Raw genomic sequence first — 26,418 nt, forward strand, 5'->3', positions numbered from 1 at the left:
TCCTCCCAGCCACAGCTGGGGCAGAGGAAGTACTGACAGCCAGGTGGCAAGGACTGGCAGTGTTTTGGGGGTGCCCAACTGAACCCTCACTTCCCATCTGCCTGAGCAACGGTACCAGAACTACTGCAAGATGGTAAGCTCTAGGTCCCAAATACCCTGACAGGAGTCCTCAGGAGGGTGGGTGCCAGAGATCACAGACTTCACCCTCCTTACCCCCATTTCATAGATGGGGAAACTGAAGCCCAGAGAGGTGAGGAGACTTAGCATGGGAGTTGGTGGCAGAGCTGGGTCTAGAAACCCAAGTCCTGCTGCCACTCTACCTGCTGTAGAAGATGCCTGCTCCTGACCCACCCCTCTGAAGGAAAACAGATCATTCATTTCTCCCCTTCCCCTTCCAGCTCCCCACCACTGCCCCCTGCTTTGTTGTGGGGAGCAGAGAGAAGGAACTTGGGGACATGCAACATCGGAGCAGATGCAGGCCTGAAGGTTGGGCCTGAATTGGGTTCAGCTTTGCCAGCATCTGGCTGAGTGACCTTGACCCGGTATCACCATCAAAATAGGGTGTTGGTGCCAAACTCACAGGAGTCCAAGTGCCTGTGCAAGGGCATGGAGGGTCTCCCAAAGCTTTATGGGCCTCTTGTGCATCATACCTTTCACTCAGCCCTGCATGGAGGGAACTCCGGGGGCCTGAAGAGTGGCCAGAGCACCTCCTTGGGGCTGGCCTGACAGGGCACTGGGGATCCAGATATGGATCAGACCCAGGCCTGGCCTTCGGGCAGCTTCCAGTGTGATGGAGAATCAGCTTGTAATCAGCAGTTAGAACAAGGCCAGAGGCTGTGGGAACCCTGAGGAGGATGCTCTTTTGTTTCTCCATTGTGCGGGTCTGACTTTATCTTCAAATAGGTTATTTCTGTGGGTGGCAAGATAGCCCCTGGCAATTCCAGGCCTGCATAGACCTTAGTGTTTATCATCCCAGAGAAGGAAAGGCCTTCTCTTTCCAAAGGCTTCCTGGAAGACTGCTGCCTTATCACCATCTCTGGGTTTTGAAGGATGTATTGCTTTATCTCATTATCAGGGAATCATCAGGTAAGCAAAGCAGGGAAGGGCCTCTGCCTAGAATATTTCTGAGGTGGACTGGGGGCTCCCACTGGCCCGGGGTTCAGCATCCATGGCCAGGCCAGCTCCCAGGCCACGGCCTCCATGGTCAGCCAGGTTGGGATTGCCTGAGAGGGCCTGGGCCTGAGAAAGCAGAGGTGCAGTCCTCCCAGCTTCCCTCTCCAGGAGCCTCCCAACTCTAACGCCCACGGAAGCACTTGCCATTTGGTATTTGGGACTTAGAGCTCACCACCTTGCAGCAGTCCCGGTACAGTTGCCCAGGCAGATGGGAAGTGAGGGTTCACTTGGTAGACTGCATTTCCCACTTGTTGGCAGAGCGAGCTGTGGGCGGTAGTTGGGGCTGGATAAGGCAGGGTGAGAACCGAACCAGCAGTGTGGGAAAAGCCTGAGCCTGCAGACCCACCTTGCTGCGGGACTTGGGAGACTCCCGCAGGCCCTCAATTTCCAGTCTGTATAACGGGGTGAGGGTTGAACAAGATGGCGTGCGTTTCCTGCGCTATGACTTTACCTAATTTTAAGACACCTAATAAGCTTAGCAGAGAGATTTGGATTAGGCACGATGAAGAATTTTTAGGTCTTCTCAGTTGTTTCAGTTGGGGATATGTCATCAGTGAAATTTCTATACTCCTCCTCCAAGCTGCATGGGGGCTGGCCCTGGCGTCAAGGTAGGGAGCTAGATAAGTTGACTCCCAGCATGCCTCTTCCCTACGCACCCCTCAAACCACTGGCTTCAGGGGCCTGTCTGCAACGGGAAGCAAGTCAGCCACGAGAAGGCATGCTTTGCCTTTTTTTCCTGCCAAATAGAAGGTGGTGTTCCCCGGTGCTGTGTCTCACCCCAGCCCCTACCTGAGTGTTTGGACTGAAGCATTTATAGTGGTGTTTCTCAGACTTAATCACCTGGGGATCTTGTTAAAATGCAGATTTTGATTCAGTAAATCCAGTCTGGAGCCCAAAGTCCTGCATTTCTAACCCGCTCCCAGGTGATGCTGATGCTGCTGTTCCCAGACCACGCTTTGAGTAGGAAAGTGCTAGAGTACATTTTGTCTTCTGTCTAGCCAGGGCATCCAGCCTGCCTCAGATGGAACAGGAACTCACCTGCCACTTAACCAGCCTCCGGTGGCCATGGCTCCTGCTTCACTTCATCCAGCATGGCTCAGGAGGCAGAGCCAGCTGCTGGAAGATGACTTGTCCAGCCCCAGCCCTTGGATCAAGGGTTCAAGCCTGTGCTTGGACTTCACTTCCCTCCCTTATATACTCACCCAGTCCTGTCCCACTTGTAGGTGAAGGTGAAAGGTTATGAGACCCTCAAGGATAAGCATGTGATGAACTCATCTGGCCAGGTCCCACTGCTGGGCAGGTTGACCAGGCCCTGAGCATGACCCTCCGACTGTGTCCTGTGTACAGAGCCTTTGCACTCAGAGCTGCTCTGGGGAAAGGGGAGGTCCTCTAAGCAGGGTCAGGAATGCTGGGTTTCAGTCCTGGCTCTGCCGCCTACTGCCTGGGTAGCCCTGGGCTAGTCAGTGCCTGTCTCTGGTCCCCAGTCTCCCTGGCTGTCCAATTAGGCTATACTGGATGACCCCAGAGGGCTCTCAGGCTCTAAGATGGGTTGCTGGGCAAGTCTGGAGGTGGGAAAGTCCTATGAAGGTAGGATTTTTGTAAAGGGGGCGAAGGAGCAATTATGAGGCAGACCTCTGGAATGGCTCTATGGCCCAGCCTCTTTATTTGCTTTTGTGAGTTCACATCCTGCCGCCTCCACCCCAGTTATGCCAGTGGTGTTATTAGATGCTACTGAACACCCAATTTGTGCACTGAGGATGTGGCAGTGAACCCTGCAAGCTTGCCTGGGGTCACATAGTGAGTAGAACCAAAGTCTGAACCTAGGTTTGACTCTTCTGCTAAACTAAGCCCTTTCCCTCTGATGCATCACACCAGGGAAAGGGGCCATCTTGAGGCCTAGCATTTCCTTCCTTCCTCCTAAAAGTCAAAGCAGTTGTTAACTTTCAGCTCATAAGGGTAGATATCTTTCTAAACTCTGCTGTGGCTTTGTTGCTTTGCAGATTTTGAAGAAAAGCAAAGGCTTGAGTGTAGGCCCCTAAATCCGTCTTTCTCCCTGCTCCCAGCTTGTAGGCTCAGTTGAAAGGTCATGAGACCCTCAAGGACAAGATTGTGACTAACTCATCTGTGCTCTGGGTCTTTCACAGAGCAGATGGTATGAAGGAATATTTAATGGGCACACAGTAGGTGCTTGGTGAAGATGTGTTGAGCAAAGGGCATGTAGTGGGGGTTCAGCAAAGAGGGGTTTGAGGTGGCCCACTTCTTCAGCTGCCGGAAGGAATGGGGTATGGGTGAGGAACCTTCACCCATGCTCTTCCCCAGTGCTGTCTCCTGCAGTCACCAGGCTTCCTGTCCCTACTGCCCATCAGCTGCTGGAGTCCAGGGTGTCATCCTAGGGGCACCAAGCCAATTAAGTGGGCACATCTCGTCCTAACTTCCAGGCTTGGCACTTGATTGATAGTGAACATAATTACAGCCCTCAGTGTCCTTCAGGCTGCCTGAAGCTCACTGGCTACTGGGCCCTTTGGGGAAGCAAAGGCTCCCACCTTACTCCTTTCTGGGCCCCACGCTTTGGGCACTGAGATGAGGCTGAACATTTACATCTCTCTGAAAGTGGTAGTGGTGTGGGGAATCAGTGGTGTTGGGGGTGGGGGCAAGAGGGTTCAGCTCCTTGGAGAAGGGGTATTAGTCTGGGACATACAGAAGGCAGAGCAGGGATTGGGGATGCTCAAAGTACACTTGGAGAAAAAAAACCATTGCAAATTGGATGTTGAACCTCTGTCCTTGGCCTCACAGACAGATAGCAAAATTAAATATTTGTACTAGATTCAGATAAGGGACAGGAGTTTGACTGGGGTGGAGGGGATGGGAGAGAACTGGCAATTATGAGAGACTTCCCAAGGCCTAGCCCTTGGACTAGCCTCTTTAGATACTTCATGTGGTCTCCAAAATGACCCCGAGTGCGATACCATTCCCATTGTGTATCTATAGAAACCAGGGCACAGGGGAGCATGCAGACAGCCCAGAGTTACAAAGCCATGAGGTGGAGGGCTAGGATCTGAACCCAGGTCTGTCTGATTCTATAGCTGATGCTCTTCTCATATCTAGAAGGGTACCTGTGGGAGGTGAGGTTTGTACTGGGGACCCCATGACTGGAGAGAAGGGTGACAGTGGACTGACATCTTCCCTCTGCTGTAGGCACTGGATCCAGCATCCTCTCCGCCCTCCAGGACCTCTTCTCTGTCACCTGGCTCAATAGGTCCAAGGTGGAAAAGCAGCTACAGGTCATCTCAGTGCTCCAGTGGGTCCTGTCCTTCCTTGTACTGGGTAAGCTGGGCCTTAGAGGGAGGGCAGGTGGGCAGGCAGTGTCCACTTCCCCAAAAGAGGTAGAGCAGGAGCCCTGCTCTACAGGGGTGAGGGAATAAGAGTAACTCTTACACATGCTGCCCCACAGCACCTTTCCACATCTATCTTTTGGGTCCCAGATCAAGTGCTCTACCCCTCAGCATGCATGAAGATTCAGCAAGATTCAGTGGGAGGTGGTGTGATAGTTCCCATTTACAGATGGGAAACCTCAAGTCTTAGAGAAGATAGGTAACTTGCCCAAGGTCACACAGATTTGAATCCCTGTCTACAGGACCCCCAAAGCCTGTGCCTTTCCCACAATGCCACCCTGCCCACCAACAGACATTTTCCAGCAGGTATGTTACTTTGCCTTAAGGTGGTTTGGTGCCAGGTTTAAGTCCTGAATCTCCTGCAGACAAGCTCTGTGACCTTACACAGGTTATTTGAGCTCTCTGAGTGTTAGTTTCCTCATTTTGAGTGTGAGGAAAGTGCCTGCTTCACATGGCTTTTTTGAGGATTGAAGATAAGAAATGAGAGCACCTGGCACAGGGCCTGGTCATGATGGGCCCCCATTACATGGGAATCATCGGGAGGTGCCCTCAGACCCCACTCCCAGCCCACACCCATCCTCAGCTGAGCACATTCCCCAGGTGCTTCCCGAGGCCTGCTCCCTGCTATCTCTCAGCACAGCCCACATCGGTGCTTTGGTTGCTTTTTCTGCAGGTCTGGCTAGATACCCTCACTCCTTAGGTTGCCATCCAGGCCAGGGGCAGGACAACACGAATGTCTGAGGGGAGGGAAGAAGCCTCTTGTTTTTCCCCAGACCCCTGTGCTCTCAGCATAGCAGGTAGCTTCCTCAGCACGTCAAGGCAGATGAACCTGCTCCAGAGCATCACAGAGTGCATTCCAGTGCCTGTGAGCCAGTCCCTCTGGGCAACCCACTCTTCGGGACTGTATAGGCTGGTAGGGGATCATCAGGACTTACCATGTCAGTGCTGAGCAGCTGTCCTTCAGGCAGGTGCATGGGGCGCTCTGAGACTGAGACCATGTTTGCAGGGCCAAGGGATAGAACTTCACAGGTGAGAAAATGCAAATTCACAAAGGTTCATCAACTACCTGCTACTGTGAAGCTCATTAAATGGCAGAGTTGGGATTTTAGCAGAAACTCAGTGCATTCCCCAGGGAGCCCACATTCCTGGAAGCCCAGAATTAGTGAACTGGGGCTGAAACAGCCAGTCTTCACCTTTAGGCCCAAGAACGGGCTTTGAGTGGGGGGATCCATGAACCCTTAAAATTAGATGCAAGATTATATATGAGTATGTGCACATTTTTCTGGGGAGAAGGGCCATAGCTGTCCTCAAAGTCTTACAGGGACAGGTAGCCTCAAGAAGACAAACACTGGTTGGAAGAACTGAGCAAACTAAACAGTCTCCCTCAGGACTCAGACCCCTAACATGGCTTGCATTTGGCCACTTACTAGAATCCTAGAGTAGTGAGCACAGTGTGACCCCTTCTTGTTAAAAAAGGAAGTGGAGGCCTGGCGAGGATGGAGCCTTACTTGGGGTCACATGAGAAGAAAGTACTGGGACCAGGACAAGAACCCAGGGACTCCAGCCTCCCAGACCCCCTGCCTAGTCTGCTACACCAGCTCTCTTTGTTCCCTGTTGCACCCCAAAGCTACCACTATCCCTGTCTTAATGGGTCTGGGCCTGGCTGGTAGGGAGCTGAGCAGCTTGTAGAACACCAGCTCACGCAGCATGTGATGGGGACTGGCCCCAGGCTATAGGTTAATAATTGATCAGACCCAACCACAGCCCAGAAACCGGCCCAGCATCTTCTCAACACCCTCGCCTGGCCTCACCTCGCCTCGCCTCGCATAGGTGGGAACCTGGCCTCGTTGGACAGGCAGATCTCCTGAGCTACTGCTAATTACTGCCCTCAGCAGCCCCAGCCACTCCTTCCCTCTGCCTCTCAAACCTGCTGGCAGAAGCTCACCTGGCAAGCAAAGACCGTGGTGGCCCTGTTGGTCTCTCCCTGGACCAGAGATTTTTCACCACTTTGTGCCATGGAACCCTCTGTCATTTTGATGAGGCCTATGCCCTTTCTCAGTGTTTTAGAGTATTTAATACAAGGTGCATTGGATTTCAAAGGAAACTACTGATAATAAAATATAAATATCTATACATTAAAAAAGCTGATTAGACATGTAGTAACAGGTGCCTTTTTATTACAGTAAATAAAAAGATCTAGCAGCACATGTAATAATTACTATAGTTCTTAAGTAGTGATGAGAAGAAATGATTTTTTTTAAGATATCTGCAACTGCTACAAAGTTATATGAAAATACCTTTGTTATTTATTTGTGTCATAAGTACTGCTGATAATTCTGTGATTTATTATATTGGTAAGTGAAGGAAATGCCACATTTCCATAAGAGATAAGTGAAAATTTAGATGTCATTTGTTTCCCCATCCAAGTCCATGGATATTGTGTGTCAGGCTGAGTAAGTTCAAACATCATATTTAATTTTCCCAATACCCTGTAAGGAAATTAAGGCTTAGGAATGGGGCTTGGCCAGCAAGTGGCAGGGCCAAGGCTCCAGGTCTGTTTGGTCTCAGAGTCCATGCTCTTCACCAGGCCACACTGCTGCCTTCCCTGCCATTGAGCATCCACAGGCTGCCCTGCACCACAGGCCTCGTGGCTTCAGAATTTTGTATCACAAGTGTCTTTGTAGGCCACCATAATGTGCAGGAAGCAGGTGATGTGTGAAAGTGGTCCTGAGCCTTCCATGTGTGGGGCAAAGCAGGGCCTTCTAAGCTTCTCATGAGCTCAGCAACAGTGGTTTTTACTGCAGCCCCACAACCTAAGAGCATGGAACCAGAGCCTGTTGTTCAGAGGACAAGGATTAGGCTCTGAGAAAGGAAGGTCATTTGGTGGATTTAGTTCATCCTTTTGCTCTTCCTGTGTTTGGTTTCTGGGGCTGGAGAGATTAATCTGACCTGGTTTCTGCTCCCAAGGAGCTCGGGCTGAAGGGCTGTCTGTTAGTGGGAGTCCAATGAGGGAGGCAGATGATGAAAGGGATGGTGAGTGGTTTCAGAGAGGGCTGTGGACACATAGGGGAGGGGAGGGAGCCCCCAGCTGAGAAAGGCCAGGCTAGAATTCAGTCTCTGGATACCCCATCAGGCCTCTTCTTCTCCATCCAGGCTGCCTCAGCAGCAGAGTAAGGACAAGTGGGTAGGGTTACCCCCCTTCCCAGAGAGACCAGCCCTCTAAGCAGTGGGGCCTGGAGCTCAGCCCCCTCTGGTCCTTTTACCCCTCAAGAGAGTTAGAGATTTCTGGAAGCTAGGTTTCCAGGATGCTCAGACCATAGCCTAAACCTCATCGTCCCTATCTGGCCCACCTGGAGCATCCACCTAGAGGATGCCACTAGAGGAGCCTGGATGCCTGTAGAGTCTGGGGGGCTAGAGTCTTCCCTTTTCAGGCCCAAGAAAGGGAATCAGGCAGACTGCTGAACAGTAAGTATGACTTTGTAGGCAGCCTTTAGACATAGCTATTCACCAAGCTACCGTAAGCTTTTCACAGTTTGCTTTTAACAGGCTCTTGTAGGCTGCACATGCTTCCCTAGAAACTTGTCTTCCCTTCTGCGATGTCACACCCCTAAGCTGGTCCTGAAAAATTGGACATCTCGTCACTCTGTATTCACTGTTCCTCCCAACAAGAGAGTTGTACCCTGTTTTTAGCTACCCTGGGGAGAGGCTGGCTCAGGAGTCTAGAACAGGGCTAGATTGGGGGGCAACAAGGGGCTACCATTTCCCTCCCTTTAGGCTCATGGAGAGTCTACATCCAGCCTTATCTTCTCCCATGGGAAACCAAAGGAGGCTCAACATGGTGAGAAGAGAGCATGACATCCAGAGCCAGGCAGCCTACAGCACCTGGGACCACCAGGGAATGGGCACACAGCAAGGGTTGGCCTCCCTTCTTGGGCAGTGGAAAAAGTCCTAGAAGGAGTCCATGCTTCTCCCACCAAACATGAGTACCTGCTGCCCTTGCCCTTGTGCTGAATGCCAAGGACCAAAGAAGATGCCTCCCCACCCAGTGTGGGAAATTCACAGGCAAGAGATGATATGTAGATAGTATGATATTGGGGAACACTTCTTGAAGAGCTGAGGTCTGAGATAGGCCTTAAAGGTTGGGTAAAAAATGGAAAGAGAGAAGCCCTGCTGAGGGCAGCTAGTGGCGAGCCATGAGATAAAGCAGGCATGGCACAAGCTCTCCTTCCTTTCTGTGCCAGGCTAGATTAGTCTCTCTTATGACCTACAGGCCCAGAACATGGTGACCAGTGGAAGCCAGCCCCCAGGCAAGTCTTCCAAGTGTGCTGTTAGGGTTTTTTTTTTTTTACTTTTGAGACAGAGATTCCCTCTGTTGCCCAGGTTGCAGTGTAGTGGCGCGATCATGGCTCACTGCAGCTTCAAACTCCTGGCTTAAGGAGTCTTCCCATCTCAGCCTCCTGAGTAGCTGGGACTACAGGCACATGCCACCTTGCCCAGCTAATTTTTTAAATTTTTTTGTAGAGATGGAGTCTCGCTATGTTGCCCAGGCTGGTCTTGAATTTCTGAGCTCAAGCAGTCCACCACCTCAGCTTCCCAAAGTGCTGGGATTACGGGTGTGAGCCACTGTGCCTGGCTGCTGAAGTTTTTGAAGACAGGGAGGCTGATGGGCTCTGCGCTTTGGCCTGGGACTTCCTGGATTGCCGTTATGTTGGAAGGGAGCCAGCCCTCCTCCTGGGCAAGTGTCCCCTCTCCGGTCCCTCTAGTGATGGTCTGGGACTTTGGTGAATTTCTAAAGCCTAATACAGAGAACGGACTGTAGAGTCAGACCTGTGTTTGAATCCTGGCTCTGCCACTGTCCTGCTGGGTGACCTTGGGCAAGTTATCTCCCCCTTGAGCCTCAGTGTTCTTATCTCTAAAATGGGGCAAAGTCACCCTGCCTTACACTTGAGACAGTGGCTCAGCCCCAGTCTTGAGATGCAGAGGCACTGGGTAGGTGTTCCCTCCCCTTATCCACAGTGTCTGGGCTGGGTGCTGGCATGGGGGCGCACACAAGGAGGGGACAGTAAGAGCAGCTTCACAAGAAGCTGAAGCCTATCTCCTTTGGTGCTCCTGTCCAGATAACATGGAGCCCATGGGCCCCTCGATGCCAGGACAGTCCATCAGAGTCTGGGAGATGAGGCTCCTCTTGTCCCAGGAATCTGCTCCTACCTGGGCTGAACATTCCTGTAGCTATTTCTCAGGGTTTGTGGGCCCCATGCCCATGGCCCTGGGTGTGCCTAGCTTAGTGCCACAGTAAACACTCACTCCATCCACCATGGCCCAGAGGGGAGATGAAGCCCAGTAGGACCTGACCTGTGGCCATCTGCCCCCCAGGAGTGGCCTGCAGTGCCATCCTCATGTACATATTCTGCACTGATTGCTGGCTCATCGCTGTGCTCTACTTCACTTGGCTGGTGTTTGACTGGAACACACCCAAGAAAGGTAAGTGCAAGGCCTCCCTTGCCCCACCTCTCATTCTAGGGATGCTCTTCCCCCTGCACAAGCTGAAGGGCCTCATCCTGAGTGCTGTTTCTTTTAACACCCACTTTGTGAAAAGCACTGGACTAGTCCTTTTGGGGGGAGGTTAAAAGCCCCTCAAAGGGCACTGTTCTGGTCCTGACAAGAGTTCACACTCAGTCGAGGGTTTGCATAACATGAAGGAATGAATGTGGAAAGGGGCCTGATGGGAAGGGGGCATGGTGCATGGGGTGATGGTCACCTGCTTGGGTTTCACACTGGCCCTGTCTTGTCTGCCTTGCCCAAATGTACCCCCACCCCCACCAACTCTGTATTTTATTCCCTGGAAGGTGGCAGGAGGTCACAGTGGGTCCGAAACTGGGCTGTGTGGCGCTACTTTCGAGACTACTTTCCCATCCAGGTAAAGTGCTGTGAGTGTTGTTTTGGGAGGGTGGGAATGGATGGGAAATCTGAACTCAGGCCTTAACCCACCCACAGGGAAGCAAGTTTAGACCAAGTTGGTCTCTTCATTTCCTTTCTACTGTGTCACTGGCTGTGCTGGGGACCCCACTGCTCTTCTGAGTATCCATCTTCTTTGGGCCAGCCCTGAGGTCCTGACAGGGAAATGGTGGCTCAGTTTGGCTTTCAGTCTCAGCTCTGTCTGGCCCCTGCCTGGTCTGCAAGCTGGGCTGGTGAGGCACAGCCATCTGGCCCTGATGCATGTGGGCAATCCTGGTGAATTGAGGATAACTCTGGCAGGATCCTGAAGGTTTTCCCCACAGGGGAAAGACCTGTCTGGCCAGCTCACTCCACACCCCAGCTCCAGCACACCCTAGCTGCTGAGTACCCTGCAGAAGGTAGGGGTGCTGAAGAGTGGAGGCAGCACGTGAATGTGAAAGAGTTCTGTGCAGGGTGCAGGGTGGTGTATATTTGCTGTTGTGAGTCAGTGACTGAGATCCTGGTGTGTTGCCTGGGGGCAGTGGCTGGGTAACCCTGCATCCTTCACTGCATTCGGTATTTTGGGGGTGGCAGGGCCAGCTCCTTCTGCTCATCCTTAGCCTAAGCCCAGTCTTCCCGGGACCTTCCTGCTCCTCAGGGTCAGCGTTCCTTCTCCTTTTCCTGACCCCATCTCTCTAACTGCAGAAAATTTGAAGCTGTTTTTGTTGGGAGAAAGTTGCATCATAGGACCCAACCCTCTAATTTTGGAGGTAAAGAAACTGAGCCTCAGAGATGGGCAGGACTTGTCCAGGCTGCATAGTCTAGTATGATGGCAACATTGCAACCACCATCCAGGCTTATTGAATTCAGGGCCCAGGTTCTTTTCCACTGATTTCCTACTGCCTGTTTCTCTGGGAGAGATTCAATCCCTGGATTTCCCCATTGGATTGATTCCAGCTTCCTGGGTCTCCCTCTCCCCCGTTGCTGCTGGAGATCTCAGTTTAAGTTCCTGCCCTGTCACTCCATTTATTAACCTGCCACCATTGCTCCCTGTCCAGTGCAGGGCTGTGCTGGGCATGGGGACACAAGTCAGCCCTGCCCTTGGGGTGTCTATTGCATCCTGATAGACTTTGTCACTTTCTGCCATGGGGCCATGGGCAGACTTTCTCAAGCCTGCTGAGCCTCATCTGCAAAATGGAGCTGTCTGTATGATGAAAAGTAATCAGTTCTGATTGGGTGGGAGTGATGATAGACTGTTCTTTCTGCTTTCTCTCTCACCTCAGGGGCCAGGCTCCAGTGTTCTCTGTTGCCACTGTGGCCTGGTCCTCTGGAAGTCTCCAGGAGGCCAGTAGCCCCATCCACTTAGAACAGGATGACCTGATGATTGTTGGTCAGACCTGGGACAGGCAGGTGTCCTTTGCTATCTGATCTCCACCCTTCCAAAAGAACCAAACAAACCCCTGTGTCCTTCTCACATCTCTGTTCCAAGAAGTCAGCTGGGAGTTGGAGCCTTAGGGCACATACAACCTGGCCCTGTGAGGGCTCCCTGGGGCACTAGGACAAAAGCCAAACTGGGCCCGAGGCAGGCTGGGGTGTTGAGCCTCAACCCGGGGCTTAGGCTGATCAACCCGGGGCTTAGGCTGAGCCTGCCTCTCTCCCTCTGGGCCTCAATCTCCCCTTCACTTGGCCTTGGTGATCTGACATCAGGTCTGACACTCTATGGGGGTGTGTGTGACCCTCCTGTCCCACCCCCTTTTCCTGGCCTCTTGCCAGTAATCATGTAATGAAGATCTGCCGCTGTACCCACCCGCCCACCTACTCCCTTCCTGGTGGGACTCTGGTCTTTGCTGCCAGAACAGCTCATCTGGCCCAGAGTGTATCCCTTCTGTTGGCACAGGTGGGGTTCTTGTGTTAGCAACAGCCACCGAGACCACCAGCCACCTGGAAGAGGAGCAGACAGTGCCCCACATCACCTCTCCCCAAAGTGTAGGCAGAATCCTTGGAGAGGAGACTAGGAAACACTCTCTCTAAGCTTAGAATCACCTGTCCATCTGCCTCATTTCACTGATAGGCTTACTGAGGCACAGAGAGGAGGGACTATCCCAAGGTCACAAAGCTTAAGTAGTAGCAGGACTAGTGTAGGAACCAGGGCTGTCTGCTTTGGGGCCCATGGTCTTACTCCTGTGTTACTTTCACCATCACCATGCCGTGCTGTGTAAACTTAAGCAAGCCTTTGCTCTTCTGTGGGTCTGAATTTTTTCCTCTATGCACTGCTGTGGTGGGACAAGCCTATCTGAGCACCTTGCCTCTCCTGGGAGGGAGGGTATAAAGAGTGACTTGATAGGAATGTGTCCCAGACTGACATTAGCGAGCAGGCCGGGCCTGGGCATCGTGTTGGGCTGGGACTTTGCCACGGGAAACAGGCAGCAAGAGGACACAAGAGCAGGCATGTCAACAGAACCTTCATTGGCGGTATCCTTCCCCTCCTTCCAGAACGGACATTCTCTCCAGCCCTGGGGGAGGGGAGTGTGACATGAAAACAGATCAGAGCTGGTCAGATGCCTACATTCTTCTGGGTCCTACAGCAAGGGCATTGACTTGCACTGTGTCCCAAGGCACCTCATTCAACCAAATGTCCCATCAGAGCCTTGGGGAGGGAGGAAATGATTTAAAGAGCCACCTGGGGCCCACTGGGTGACACATCTTCATCCAGCAGCCCAGGGAAAAGTGCAGCGACTGGCCTGCTCCAGATGTGCAGGATAATTTGCTGTGACCTCCACAGGGGAATTGCAGCTCCCTTTTCTAGGCCTCAGCTTCCCCCCGTCATCCAAGGAATGGCTTAGACCTTTCAGGGCTCTGCCAGCCCATGCAGTGCTGTGGGTTCCTGGTTATCGGCCCAGTGGGAAGGTCGGGGGAGCCATAGGAAGGGGACAAAAAGATGCTGCACGGCGTGATGGTCACCTGCCAGGGTAACTATCCCAGGCCTGGCCATCAGCTCAGGAGCAAGTTTCCAAGTTTCCCACCTGGTATTGGCTGCCCCAGCTCTTCCCTCAATGCCTGCCTGCCTTTTTCATCAAAACTAGCACAAGGAACTTTTTAATTCCAGCTTCACTGAGAGCTAACTTGGTGGGCAGACCTGCTTGTTAGGCAAAACATTGGAACAGCAATCTTAACAGAGCTCATGTAAACGAGATTTTGAGATCTGCTCGCTGCCCCGAGCCCCACTAGCTATGGATTAGACTGCTGCTGTTTCCCATTTATTTGGGGAGTAGCTGAGAGTTGGTTTGGTTTTTGAGCAACTTTAATCTGTTTGCCAAGGGCAAAGCGGGAGAAAGAGCATCAGTGCCCCAAGCAGTGGGGATGAGAGTGAGGGAGTCTTGCTCACATTTGCACAGACTGGCAGCGTCAGAGCTGGGAGTGGTGCCAGCCAGCCTTTTCCATCCCCTCTGTCACCTGAAGATTTGCATTTCAATTTTCCAAGGCCAGCCACCAGCACCCTCTCCCCCAGAGCTGCACACAAGTCCTTCAGCTCTGCCAGGAGGCTCCCAAATCTGGAGTCACAGAAAACCTGGGCTCTTGACATTCTGCTGGTGGCCAGTGACTCTGCTTCCAGCTGGCACCAGTGCAGGGAAGGGGCACTTTGCAGCACTCAGGTGGGAGTGTCATTGATGTCACCTCTTTTGAGGCAGGGCAGCCAAAAAGACCAACGTGTTCATTCCTTGTTATCCAGGAATTGTATTTCTAGAAGTTTGTTTCACAAAAGCAATCAGATATGTGGACAAAGATAAGGTATTTATTGAAGCATTACTTCTAAGAGGGAAATTTTGGAAGCTTTTAAAATGTCCATCAATCAGGGTTTGAGTCAGTGCTGTTACATGCATGAGAGCTGTGCTGTAGAATACAAATGCAGCCACGAGAAGATATGGAACTGAGGGATTTTGATAAGGACAGATAGCTGTATGTTTGGTAGAAAATGATATAAAAATGATATCAACCCATATAACCTCAATTTTGTGGGTTTTGAAAAAGAGCATGTATATTTTTGAGTAGAAAAAGGACTCAATGCGTCAGATGGTTTTATCTGGATGGAAATATTATGGATTTTTTAAATTTTCTTTTTGCTTTCCTATATTTTTAAAATTCTCTAGGAGTTTCTCTTCTTTTCCCTCTCCCCTCCCCTCCCCTCCCCTCCCCCTCCTCCGTTCCTCTCCCCTCTCCTCCGTTCCTCTGCCCTCTCCTCCGTTCCTCTCCCCTCTCCTCTCCTCTCCCTTCTCTCCTTTCTTCCTTTCCTTCTTTCCTTTCTTCTCACTCTGTCACTCAGGCTTGAGTGCAGTGGTGCAATCTCGGTTTACTGCAGCCTCTGCCTCCTGGGCTCAAGCCATCTTTCCACCTCAGCCTCCTGAGTAGCTGGGACCACAGGTGCGTGCCACCATGCCCAGTTAATTTCTGTATTTTTGTAGAGATAAGCGTTTCACCATGTTGCCCAGGCTGGTCTCAAACTCCTGAGCTGAAGCAATCCTCCCACCTTGGCCTCCCAAAGTGTTGGGATAACAGGCATGAGCCACCATGCCTGGCCCTATTATTTTTCTAATCAGAATAAAAATGATGTTTTTATGAGCAGAATACCCTTACTCATTGTCTCTCTCAGCCTCTTCCACCCCCATCACATTCCTTGTAACACAGGGTAGGTGTCACAGGCTTTGCCTCTCATGACTCAGGGTTTAGGGACACTGCATCACCCACCCCTTCAAGCACCAGCCCCAGGGCAGGAGGTGGGCCCTGAGGAAGCCAATCATCGTTTAGAGCATCCCAGTGTCCTTAGTACCACAGGTCAGGTCCTCAGCTGCTGCAGCCTTACAACTAACCTCTACCCCAGGCTGGCTGGCACAGGGCTGTCGCTTGTCCTGTCTTGTCCTTCCTGCCTTAGAACCTGAACTGAGCCCAGCTGACTGTGGGAAAGTTTCCATTTGGGCCAGCTGCAGTGTCCCTTTTCCAGGCCAGGGGAGTAGGAGGTGGGCTGCCTGTCTCATTCTGTGAGCTGTGGAGGAGCCCACAGAGCACAGGGCCAAGTAAACCCTACCTCCAAGGAGCTCACAGTTTGGAGAGACTGACAGTGGGGGCAGAGCTTGCAGCCAAGGCCCCGGTTGCCAAACTCAGGAACTTGGACTTTACTCACATGAAGCCAGACACACTCTCCAGTCTAAGAGTGACAAGGGTTGGATTTGAGTTTTAGAATAATCACTCTGGCTGTTGCGAAAAGGATGGGCCCAGAGGGAGGGAAGGCAGGAGGCTGGCAGAGTGCAAAGAAGAGCTGCTGTGTGCATGGCTGAAGACTGAGAGGAACAAGGGCAAACATTGCCCACCCCTTCCCAGAGACCCACAGTGCAAATGGTGACTGCCCAACACCAGCACTGTGGCCCTGGGGATGAGAGTCTGAGGTAAGGTGTGGAGATTCATTGCAGCCCTCAGGCCCATGGAGGTCCAGGGGAAATGACACATCCAATCCCTCCCTACCCTCCGGGTATGCCCCGGTATCCCTCTCCCAGCCAGTTTCCTCTGACCCAAGGTCATCCTTGCAGCTGGTGAAGACACACAACCTGCTGACCACCAGGAACTATATCTTTGGATACCACCCCCATGGTATCATGGGCCTGGGTGCCTTCTGCAACTTCAGCACAGAGGCCACAGAAGTGAGCAAGAAGTTCCCAGGCATACGGCCTTACCTGGCTACACTGGCAGGCAACTTCCGAATGCCTGTGTTGAGGGAGTACCTGATGTCTGGAGGTAAGAATCCACCCCCTGTGCTCCTGCTGGGCACTGTTGTCAAGGCCTGAGCCTCTCCATCGGGCAGGGTGACACAGGGAGCCAACACACCATTCCTTGGTGCTGGGCCTGCATTGGGAGATGCAACCTGCTTCAGACATGGTGGGTCAGGGCTGAGGAGGAGAGCTGTCCATATGGTCTTGAGAATTCAACTCGGATAACATCTTCCCTAGGAGGCCTTCTTTGACCCCCTTTTCTGGGGACCCCCAGCCCTTGTGTTGCCTTTTGTACAACCTGATTGTTGTCCATGGCACTGTAATTGTCCACCTGCCTGAGACCTCCCACCAGACTGATGCATTGGGATCCCCAACACCTCGCACCGACTTGGCAGAATTAGGGCCCTGGGAATGTTTGCCAAATGCATGAGTTCCCAAAACAACCTTGTATCATTAGCTGCATTTTACAGATGAGGAAACTGAGGCTCAGAAAAATGAATAGCTTACACAGAACCAGACAACTCCAAAGGGGCTGGGCTAGGTCTGGGGCCCAGGTCCAGGGTTCTTTATGTTTTATACCTGACTGTGTGCCGGGGATGGGGAGTGGATCCATGGGCAACCCTGACTGTTGCGTCCTTCCCTCCCCTCAGGTATCTGCCCTGTCAGCCGGGACACCATAGACTATTTGCTTTCAAAGAATGGGAGTGGCAATGCTATCATCATCGTGGTCGGGGGTGCGGCTGAGTCTCTGAGCTCCATGCCTGGCAAGAATGCAGTCACCCTGCGGAACCGCAAGGGCTTTGTGAAACTGGCCCTGCGTCATGGGTGAGTGCCTCCCTACACACACACACACCCCTCCAGTGCCCCTCAGCCCAGGGCAGCAGACTCCTTGGCCCCTGAAGACAGGACCCAGACCCCAGGAAGGCATGGAAGGGAGTCAGTCATTCTGTTAGGGAGGGGATGTTGGAGCCCAGACTGCACAGTGTGGGCCAAGTTTGCCCATGTGTGTCTGGGTGGGCACAGATGCAACCTGTGGCCTGTGGGCCCTTGCAGGTGGGCCGAGAGTCCAGGCTTATATGCAGGACTGGACCACCTGGGGCCAGAATATATCATTTTGCTGGGAGACCAGGAGGTCAGGAAGGAGGGTGGTGTGGAATGTGGCTGGGGGACAGCAGCTGTTTTCTCTGTCCCCTGGGGACCTTACCTCAGGCTTTGGAAGAAGAGGCTGCCCTGCAGGCTCAGCCCTGGGCCAGCCCCTGGGGACACATTCATATTGGACCCAGTCCCTGCCTTCAGGGAGCACCAAGGGTGGGGGAGGGTAGAGGGATGGACAGTGACAACACAGTGTGCTGAGACTGTGAAACAATGGTGAGTCCAGGGCTGAGAGAGGCCTGGTTTGGTGGAGGGACCAAGAGAACTTCCTGGCAGAGGCAGGCCCTGCAGGAAGAGGTGGAAAACAGGCATTCCAGAGCAGGGCGCTCAGCCTTCCCTTTGCCTGGGGGACCCAGAGCTCTGATATGCTCCCCAGTCCCTAGCAGTGGGGCAGAAGGCCCATCAGAACCTGGTAGAGAGGGATCATGTGAACTTGGGACACCCAGGTAATTCTGGTACACCCAGCTGGGGGAGGGGGATGCTTGGCCAGTGTCCAGGGCCTCTAGGCTGACATAGAAACTGAAGCCAGTAAGTAGGGTATGACAGACCCTGGCCTCTCCCTTCCAGAGCTGACCTGGTTCCCATCTACTCCTTTGGAGAGAATGAAGTGTACAAGCAGGTGATCTTCGAGGAGGGCTCCTGGGGCCGATGGGTCCAGAAGAAGTTCCAGAAATACATTGGTTTCGCCCCATGCATCTTCCATGGTCGAGGCCTCTTCTCCTCCGACACCTGGGGGCTGGTGCCCTACTCCAAGCCCATCACCACTGTTGGTAAGCCCCTAGCCTGCAGACCAAGGGCTGTCCTGAACACAGGGTGCCATACAGCTAATCAGCAGTAGAGACGGGATTCCAATGCAGGCCACCTGGCTCTGATGGCCATGCCCTTAGCCATGAGGACTTTGAAGTGTTGGGTGCTGATATTGGTCAGGAGGGGTAGTAGTAGGAGTCGGGGAATTGAGCCTATGGGATGAACCAAGCTCTGTGATAAGTGAGGAAAGAAAATCTGCAGTCTCTGGGTTTGCAGCACCCACTAGTCTATCAGGGAAGACTATTGCAGCAAAGACTAGTGGGGGAATGTGATGAGGATGCGCAGGTGCTCTAGGGAGTCATAGCGGACCCCAGGGAGGAGGTAACTCTTGCACTGCTAACTGATAGGAATTATCTAGCAAAATAGAGGAGGAAGAGAATTTTTATCAGAAACAATAGCCTACGTGAAGTTCAGAAGCAAGATTGTGTAGTTTTTTTGAAGAACAGAAAGAAAAACATTAATATGACTGCAGCATAGACCTGTCAGAAGAGTGGAAAACACTGGTTGCACTTGGCCCTCGTCTGTGTTGTTTTGGGTGTATTTGGGACCATTTAGAGGATTCTAAAGAATTACCTATTGTAGGTGTGTGTGTGCATGTTAATGGATCCCCCAGGAGCACATGGGCCCTTGGCAGTGGACTTGAGGGGCCAAAGCTCACACAGATCCTTTGCGTTCCTAGGCCAGGTGTCCTGCCTTGTACTTTTAGGTAGAGACAAAGCAACAGGGAGGCAGCAGGAACATTTCCATGCACAGGTGTGGCTGGGGAGGGGCTGGGTCCTGTGGGCAATGTGAAGGAATTTGCTCTTCACCTTGAGAATGGAGAGCCACCAGAGAGTGTTTGGGAGGGGAAGTTCAGATTTGCATTTAAAAATGATCCTTGGAGCTGCTGGATGGAAGATGGGTTAGAAAAATGGAAGCCACGAGACCAGCCCAGAGACTGTTTTGGTAGCCAGTGGCTTGGACCAAGGGAGTAGCAGTGGAGATGGAAGAGATGTGCATGATTTGGGAAAAATTTCAGAAATAGCATTGGCAGGACATAGGAATGGATTGGGTATGGAGATGCAGCAGGATAAGAAAATAAAGCAACGCACAGATCATAAATGCTGGTCTACTCCCTCCTCTCCTGCCCTTAACCACACTTTTTATTTTTTTTTTTTTTATTTTTGAGACAGGGTCTCATTCTGTCATCCAGGCTGGAGTGCAGTGGCGCAATCTCGGCTCACTGTAACCTCTGCCTCCTAGTCTCAAGCGATCCTCCCACCTCAGCCTCCTGAGTAGCTGGGACTACAGGCGTGCACCACCACACCCAGCTAATTTTTTGTATTTTTTTTTGGTAGAGACGATTTTCACCATGTTACCCAGGCTGGTCTTGAACTCATGAGCTCAAGCAATCTGCGGGTCTTTGCCTCTCACAGTGCTGGAATTACAGGCGTGAGCCACCACTCCTGGCCTACACTTTTTAAAGCATGTCACATTCCTTGCAGAATCCTTAGAAAACCCCTATGAGGAAGAATCCCCATGTGACAGATGAGGAAACTGAGGGTCAGAGAGGCAGGAATGGCTTGCCCAGAGCAGAGCAAAAGCAAAGATGTTTACTTGATCCCCTGACTCTCATAGACCCTCCTAGCAGAATGCAGTGGGTTCAACCAGTCTTGATCCCATCTGCAGCTTAGCACCTGGTGGCCTCGGGTGGGTCCCTTCACATGCCCCTGGGCCTCAGTCTTTTCATCTGTAATAGGGGACAACCAGAGATGCAGCACATAAAGCATTTGGCACAGTTCCTTCCACATGGCGGGCCCACAGCCCAGCGTCACCACCTTCAGCATCATGGTGGATGCCCAGGGGAAGGGTGTTGACTAACCAGAAGCCTCTGCCCTGTCCCTGCAGTGGGAGAGCCCATCACCATCCCCAAGCTGGAGCACCCAACCCAGCAAGACATCGACCTGTACCACACCATGTACATGGAGGCCCTGGTGAAGCTCTTCGACAAGCACAAGACCAAGTTCGGCCTCCCGGAGACTGAGGTCCTGGAGGTGAACTGAGCCAGCCTTCGGGGCCAATTCCCTGGAGGAACCAGCTGCAAATCACTTTTTTGCTCTGTAAATTTGGAAGTGTCATGGGTGTCTGTGGGTTATTTAAAAGAAATTATAACAATTTTGCTAAACCATTACAATGTTAGGTCTTTTTTAAGAAGGAAAAAGTCAGTATTTCAAGTTCTTTCACTTCCAGCTTGCCCTGTTCTAGGTGGTGGCTAAATCTGGGCCTAATCTGGGTGGCTCAGCTAACCTCTCTTCTTCCCTTCCTGAAGTGACAAAGGAAACTCAGTCTTCTTGGGGAAGAAGGATTGCCATTAGTGACTTGGACCAGTTAGATGATTCACTTTTTGCCCCTAGGGATGAGAGGCGAAAGCCACTTCTCATACAAGCCCCTTTATTGCCACTACCCCACGCTCGTCTAGTCCTGAAACTGCAGGACCAGTTTCTCTGCCAAGGGGAGGAGTTGGAGAGCACAGTTGCCCCGTTGTGTGAGGGCAGTAGTAGGCATCTGGAATGCTCCAGTTTGATCTCCCTTCTGCCACCCCTACCTCACCCCTAGTCACTCATATCGGAGCCTGGACTGGCCTCCAGGATGAGGATGGGGGTGGCAATGACACCCTGCAGGGGAAAGGACTGCCCCCCATGCACCATTGCAGGGAGGATGCCGCCACCATGAGCTAGGTGGAGTAACTGGTTTTTCTTGGGTGGCTGATGACATGGATGCAGCACAGACTCAGCCTTGGCCTGGAGCACATGCTTACTGGTGGCCTCAGTTTACCTTCCCCAGATCCTAGATTCTGGATGTGAGGAAGAGATCCCTCTTCAGAAGGGGCCTGGCCTTCTGAGCAGCAGATTAGTTCCAAAGCAGGTGGCCCCCGAACCCAAGCCTCACTTTTCTGTGCCTTCCTGAGGGGGTTGGGCCGGGGAGGAAACCCAACCCTCTCCTGTGTGTTCTGTTATCTCTTGATGAGATCATTGCACCATGTCAGACTTTTGTATATGCCTTGAAAATAAATGAAAGTGAGAATCCTCTATGAGTTATTGCTGGGGCTGCATCTGCATCTGCTGCTGACACCTGGGGAAGACTGGGTCCCCAGCTGGCTGCCCTCTGAGCCCTCTAGCCCCTTGCACCTTTGGCCCACATGACCCTGCCATGGTGTGTAAGTTACCTGTCACTGTGTAACAAACTACTTCAGAGCTCAGTGGCTTCCAACAGCATCTGTTGTCTCCCAGTTCCAAGTCACGATTTGAGGCTTGGCTTGGTCCTCCACTCAGGGTTTCTCACAGGGCTGCAGTTGTCTTGGAGCCGGGCTGAGGAAGGATCCACTCCCAAGGCCGTTCCTGCAGTTGTTCGCAGGATTGACTTCCTCACTGGCTGTTGACAGAGGCCACTTTCAGTTCCTTGCCACATGGGCCTTTCCATGGGGTAGCTCACGGCACACCAGCTTACTTAGCAAGAAGAGCCAGTGAGTGGAGTGAAGTGTGCGAGCAAGACGGAAGTCCCAGGCCCTTATAACCTAACCTGGGAAGTGATATCCTGTCACTTTTGCCATATTCTGTTCATTAAATGAACATTGCTCGGTCCAGCTCCCACTGGACGGGAGGGGATTACACCAGGGAATGGATGCCAGGGGGCAGGGGTCATTGGGAGCCACTTGACATGATGCCTACCATGTGGTAAAGGGCTCCTGTCCAGCTGGGGGGCCCTTGGGTGGCTGAGCTGGAAGGCTCCTTATGGGTCACTCAAGCTGTGTTCCCTGCCCCTGGCCTCAGCTCTACCAAAAAGGCAGAGGCCTGGCCTGCTGTCACCCTAGCGATTACAAGATGCCACCTCTTTTCTAATTCCTTTCTGTTCAGTGAGTACTAAGCACCTGGGAACCCTTCCTAGCCGAGACCAAAGGACCTTGTTCTAACTTCCTTACTGCCAGAACTGTCCTGCCTGTCCTTGCTGTTCATCCCCCTCAGGGCCAACTCCTCTGTGCCAGAAACTGTGAGAGAGCTACTTGGGAGCAGAGACAAACATTGGGAACAGCTGAAGATACGCAGGGTGGCCAGAGCTGTGCCAGAAGCCCCAGCCTGCCCGGGGGTGCGTCACTGAGGAAAGAACGCCTGAGCTGGGCCTTGAAGGGCGGCTGAGAGTCGCCAGGAAAGGAAGGCAGTGAAGGGCAGAGCAGTAGGGGAAGGATAGGGAGGCCTGATTGGAAAAACATTGCCGGTTTGAAAGATGGAGGAGGCAGAGACAGCAGTGGGGCTTAGCTTGGAAGGGTGGGGAGCTGGTGTCTCCAGAGTTTCTATGTGGGCAGAAAGGCAGAGCAGTGGGAGGAGTGCTGGGAGGGGACAACAGAGGCTGGCTTCTAGCGCCAGGCAGGCCTCAGGCTAGAGTGCTCAGGTCAGAGGATAGCCATTTCCTTTCGGATGGGGTAAAGGCCTTTTTTCTGGTGAGGGTCTCAGCATCACCCCAGCCCCAGCCTGAGGCTGACCCAAGGCTGGACTGCAACCTCAGTCTCTGGCTTCAAGTCAAGCCCTGGCCCTAACGAAGCTACTCCACCAAGGTAGGCTGTTATTCTCAAGCACTGCTTTTTGTGAAGAGTGAGCACCTTCTGTGTACTGGGGAACTCCGCCATCTGCCTAAGAAGAACAGGGACAATAACTGGGTCCCAAATCTCAGACAGATGCCCTCAGTGGCCTGATCAGAGCTGAGACCACCCTGGTCTTAAGCTGTGCATAGGGCAGGGGGGACTCTGATAGGTTCTGTGAACATTGCCTTGGGATGGGAGTTGTTACCTTGGGAGAAGGAACTGGAACCGCCTTTCCCCCGAAGACCACCTGCCCCTGGGTGTAGTGGTGAGGGCAGCACTTTGAGACTGAAGATGGTCAGTTCCATGATTCTGTCTGTGGTTCCCAGATACAGCCACAAGGGGGCACTGAAGATGGCTCTCAGGCATAGGCCACACTGCGACTTAGGCTTGCTTTCCACATTTTCACATCTCTCCAGCTCCTTACCCAGGCTAAAAGCTAGGGTGTTTCACAGATAAAGATATTTATTAGGTCAAATTGGCTTATCACGTTGTTCAAATATCCTCTTTCTTTGTTGGTCTTCTGCCTAATTGTTCTATCCATTATTCAGAGCAGGGTATTGAATTCTCCAACTGTTGTTATTGATTGATGTCTCCCTCCAGTTCTGTCAGTTCTTGCTTCATGTGTTTTGGGACTCTGCCGTTACCTGCATGCGTGTTTATAACATGTTTATGTTATGTCTTCCTGATGAATCCACGCTTTATCATTATAAAATGCTGCTCTTTGTAGTAACAGTTTCTGTCTCTAAGTTTACTGTGTATAACCTACATTGGTACAGCGACCCCAACACTCTTTTGTTCCTATTTGCATGACATGTCTTTTCTATCCTTTCCCTTTCAACTTATTTGTGTCTTTGAATATAAAGTGCGTTGTAGACATAATAGTGTTGGATATTTTTTATATCCACATTTCTACTCTTTGCCATATGATTGTTTAGTCTCTTTACATTTAATATAATTATAAGGTGGGATTTACATCTGTCATTTTGCTATTTGTTTTCTGTGTGTCTTATTTTTTTATTCCTCACTCTTTCCATTACTGCCTTCTTGTGTGTTAGACAACTGTTTTCTAATATACTATTTTAATTATCTTCTTGTTTCTGTATATTTTTGAGTTATTTTCTTAGTGGTTGGTTGACACTTTAGTCCAGATTAATACAAATTAAGATTAACATCTTAATTTCTCCATCATTTGGACAGGGTAGCTTGAGAGAAAAGAGGGGCAGGCCATATAAGAATGGTGTAGTGGGTTGAATAGTGGCCCACACAATATGTCCACATCCTAATTCCTTGAACCTGTGAATGTAGTCTTATTTGGAAAAAAGGGCCTTTGCAGATAAAATTAAGTTAAAGATTTCAAGATGAGGTAATACTGAATATCTAGGTGGGACCCAAATTCAATGATAGGTGTTCTTAGAAGAACAGGCCAGGCGCAGTGGCTCATCGCTACAATCCCAACGCTTTGGGAGGCCGAGGCAGGAGAATTGCTCAATCCCAGGAGTTCGAGACCAGCCTGGGCAATGTAGTGAGACCAGCCTGGCCAACATGACAAAGCCCCGTCTCTACTAAAAATACAAAAATTAGCCAGGTGTGGTGGTGCACACCTGTAGTCCCAGCTACTTGGGAGGCTGAGGCACAAGAATTGTTTGAATCCAGCTGGGCGCAGTGGCTTACGCCTGTAATCCCAGCACTTTGGGAGGCTGAGGTGGGCAGATCACCTAAGGTCGAGAGTTCCAGACCAGCCTGACCAACATGGAGAAACCCCGTCTCTACTAAAAAATACAAAATTAGCTGGGGTGGTGGTGCATGCCTGTAATCCCAGCTACTCGGGAGGCTGAGGCAGGAGAATCGCTTGAACCCGCTTGAACCTTGGAGGTTGCAGTGAGCCAAGATCACGCCATTGCACGCCAGCCTGGGCAACGAGAGCGAAAGTCCGTCTAAAAAAGAAAAAAAAAAAGAATGTTTGAACCCGGGAGGTGGAGGTTGCAGTGAGTGGAGATTATGCCACTGCACTCCAGCCCGGGCAACAGAGCAATACTCTGTCTCAAAAAAAAAAAAAAAAAAAAAAAATAGAGGCAGAGATTGGGAGTTGTGTAGGCATAAGGCAAGGAACACCTGGAGCCACCAGAATCTGGAAGGGGCATTGAAGGATTCTCTCCTCGAGCCTTCTAAGAGAGCACAGCCTTTGATTTTGGACTTCTGGACTCCAGAACTGTGAGAGAATAAATTTCTGTTTTAAGCCACCCAGTTTGTGTCTTAAACTAATACAGTGACTTTAATATATTTATACCACCTGATAGAGAAGTTGGACCAGAGGATGACAACCTCTAGTCTTCTCACAAATCAAATATTTCACTTTTGTTTCCATGGGGTGGACTGCAAGTTTGGAAGACACTCTTCCCTAGTACTTCTGAGAGGGTGGAATATTTTCCCATTTAAAGAGTTATAATGGGATTATGAGGAGGAGAAAAGTGGAGACTTCCCCGACCCCCTGCTTCCACCACCATTTTTACAGCAAACGCATGCTTCATATATTTATTTCAAACTTCTTTTTCATATTCCTGTTTCCCTTCCTTGCAAACTCTTTTTCAAAATATTTTTTACCACTTTCCGTTTAGGGAGTTTTGTTTCATATATTTTCATCTAATTTTTTAAATCATACATACACATTTTATTTCTTATGTTTTTTATGTATCATTAAATCACACTAACATACATCTTAAAAAGTTTCTTCTCTGAAGTATCAAATGATTTTTGAGATTTATATTTACTTTTGATGAAAACTAATATGTCAAAGTATTTTTCTTCTATTAAACATGAACAGTATATCTTTTCATTCAATGTATATGATATAAAAATATATTCCAAGAAAGTATGACTTCGCTATATAAATGTATTGAAAATATATGCAGTAACACTATTTCATTAGAGGCAGTAAAATGTAGGATTAACAACACTGGAGTTAGACTGCTTTAGAATCCCAGCTCGAAACTCAGAACATGTGACTGCCTTCACTTTCTAATCTCATAGCACTGTTGTGTCGATACACAAAAACTGCTTGTAACAATGCCTGGCACAATCCAAGCACTCAATAAATTATTGTTTTTTAAAATCTAAGCTTTAGGGAGTTGAGCCTGATCTCTCTCTCCTGCTACAGAACTCCACTGTGGTAGCCCCTCTTGAATAAAGTCTGCCCTACTGTTTTTTTTGGTTTTTTTTTTTTTGAGACAGAGTTTCGCTCTCGTTGCCCATGCTGGAGTGCAATGGTGTGATCTTGGCTCAGCACAACTTCCACCTCCCGGGTTCAAGTGATTCTCCTGCTTCAGCCTCCCGAGTAGCTAGGATTACAGGCACACGCCACTACACCTGGCTAATTTTGTATTTTTAGCAGAGACAGGGTTTCTCCATGTTGGTCAGGCTGGTCTCGAACTCCCAACCTCAGGCAATCTGCCTGCCTCGGCCTCCCAAAGTGCTGGGATTACAGGCGTGAGCCACCGCACCTGGCCCCTACTGTTCTTAAATAAACAAATGAATCTAAGCTTTATGAGCAAAATATTAGGATAAAAGTAAAATAAATAATTTTCATTTT

The 26,418-nt window shown here is 50.9% G+C and overlaps 1 protein-coding gene across 4 annotated transcripts in view, besides 3 other annotated features; it reads left to right on the forward strand.

The window, feature by feature from the left end:
* DGAT2 (diacylglycerol O-acyltransferase 2) overlaps nt 1-21,285 on the forward strand; it is a 32,757-nt gene extending 11,472 nt beyond the window's left edge. For 3 of the 4 annotated variants that reach the window (NM_032564.5, XM_011545304.3, XM_047427716.1), the window contains exons 2-8: nt 4,369-4,497; nt 9,939-10,046; nt 10,412-10,482; nt 16,079-16,283; nt 16,909-17,083; nt 17,978-18,180; nt 20,105-21,285. In NM_032564.5, coding sequence (NP_115953.2) covers nt 4,369-4,497; nt 9,939-10,046; nt 10,412-10,482; nt 16,079-16,283; nt 16,909-17,083; nt 17,978-18,180; nt 20,105-20,259 — 1,046 coding nt within the window. In that variant the 3' untranslated portion in view covers nt 20,260-21,285. The remainder of the gene's footprint in view (nt 1-4,368; nt 4,498-9,938; nt 10,047-10,411; nt 10,483-16,078; nt 16,284-16,908; nt 17,084-17,977; nt 18,181-20,104) is intronic. The other variant, NM_001253891.2, reaches the window with a different exon arrangement.
* Nucleotides 1,163-1,729: an enhancer, noted in NCBI's record as "H3K4me1 hESC enhancer chr11:75492457-75493023 (GRCh37/hg19 assembly coordinates)". NCBI's record gives its function as "activates a minimal SCP1, AML or CMV promoter by ChIP-STARR-seq in primed H9 embryonic stem cells {active_cell/tissue: H9 hESC(primed)}" and the evidence as "EXISTENCE:reporter gene assay evidence [ECO:0000049][PMID:30033119]".
* Nucleotides 6,195-6,489: a silencer, noted in NCBI's record as "tiled region #10576; K562 Repressive non-DNase unmatched - State 23:Low". NCBI's record gives its function as "represses a minimal TATA promoter and a strong SV40 promoter by Sharpr-MPRA in K562 cells {active_cell/tissue: K562}" and the evidence as "EXISTENCE:reporter gene assay evidence [ECO:0000049][PMID:27701403]".
* Nucleotides 16,862-16,911: a silencer, noted in NCBI's record as "silent region_3776". NCBI's record gives its function as "represses an Ori minimal core promoter by ATAC-STARR-seq in GM12878 lymphoblastoid cells {active_cell/tissue: GM12878}" and the evidence as "EXISTENCE:reporter gene assay evidence [ECO:0000049][PMID:35858748]".

Source organism: Homo sapiens, chromosome 11 (genome assembly GCF_000001405.40).
Source record: "Homo sapiens chromosome 11, GRCh38.p14 Primary Assembly".
NCBI lineage: Eukaryota > Metazoa > Chordata > Mammalia > Primates > Hominidae > Homo > Homo sapiens.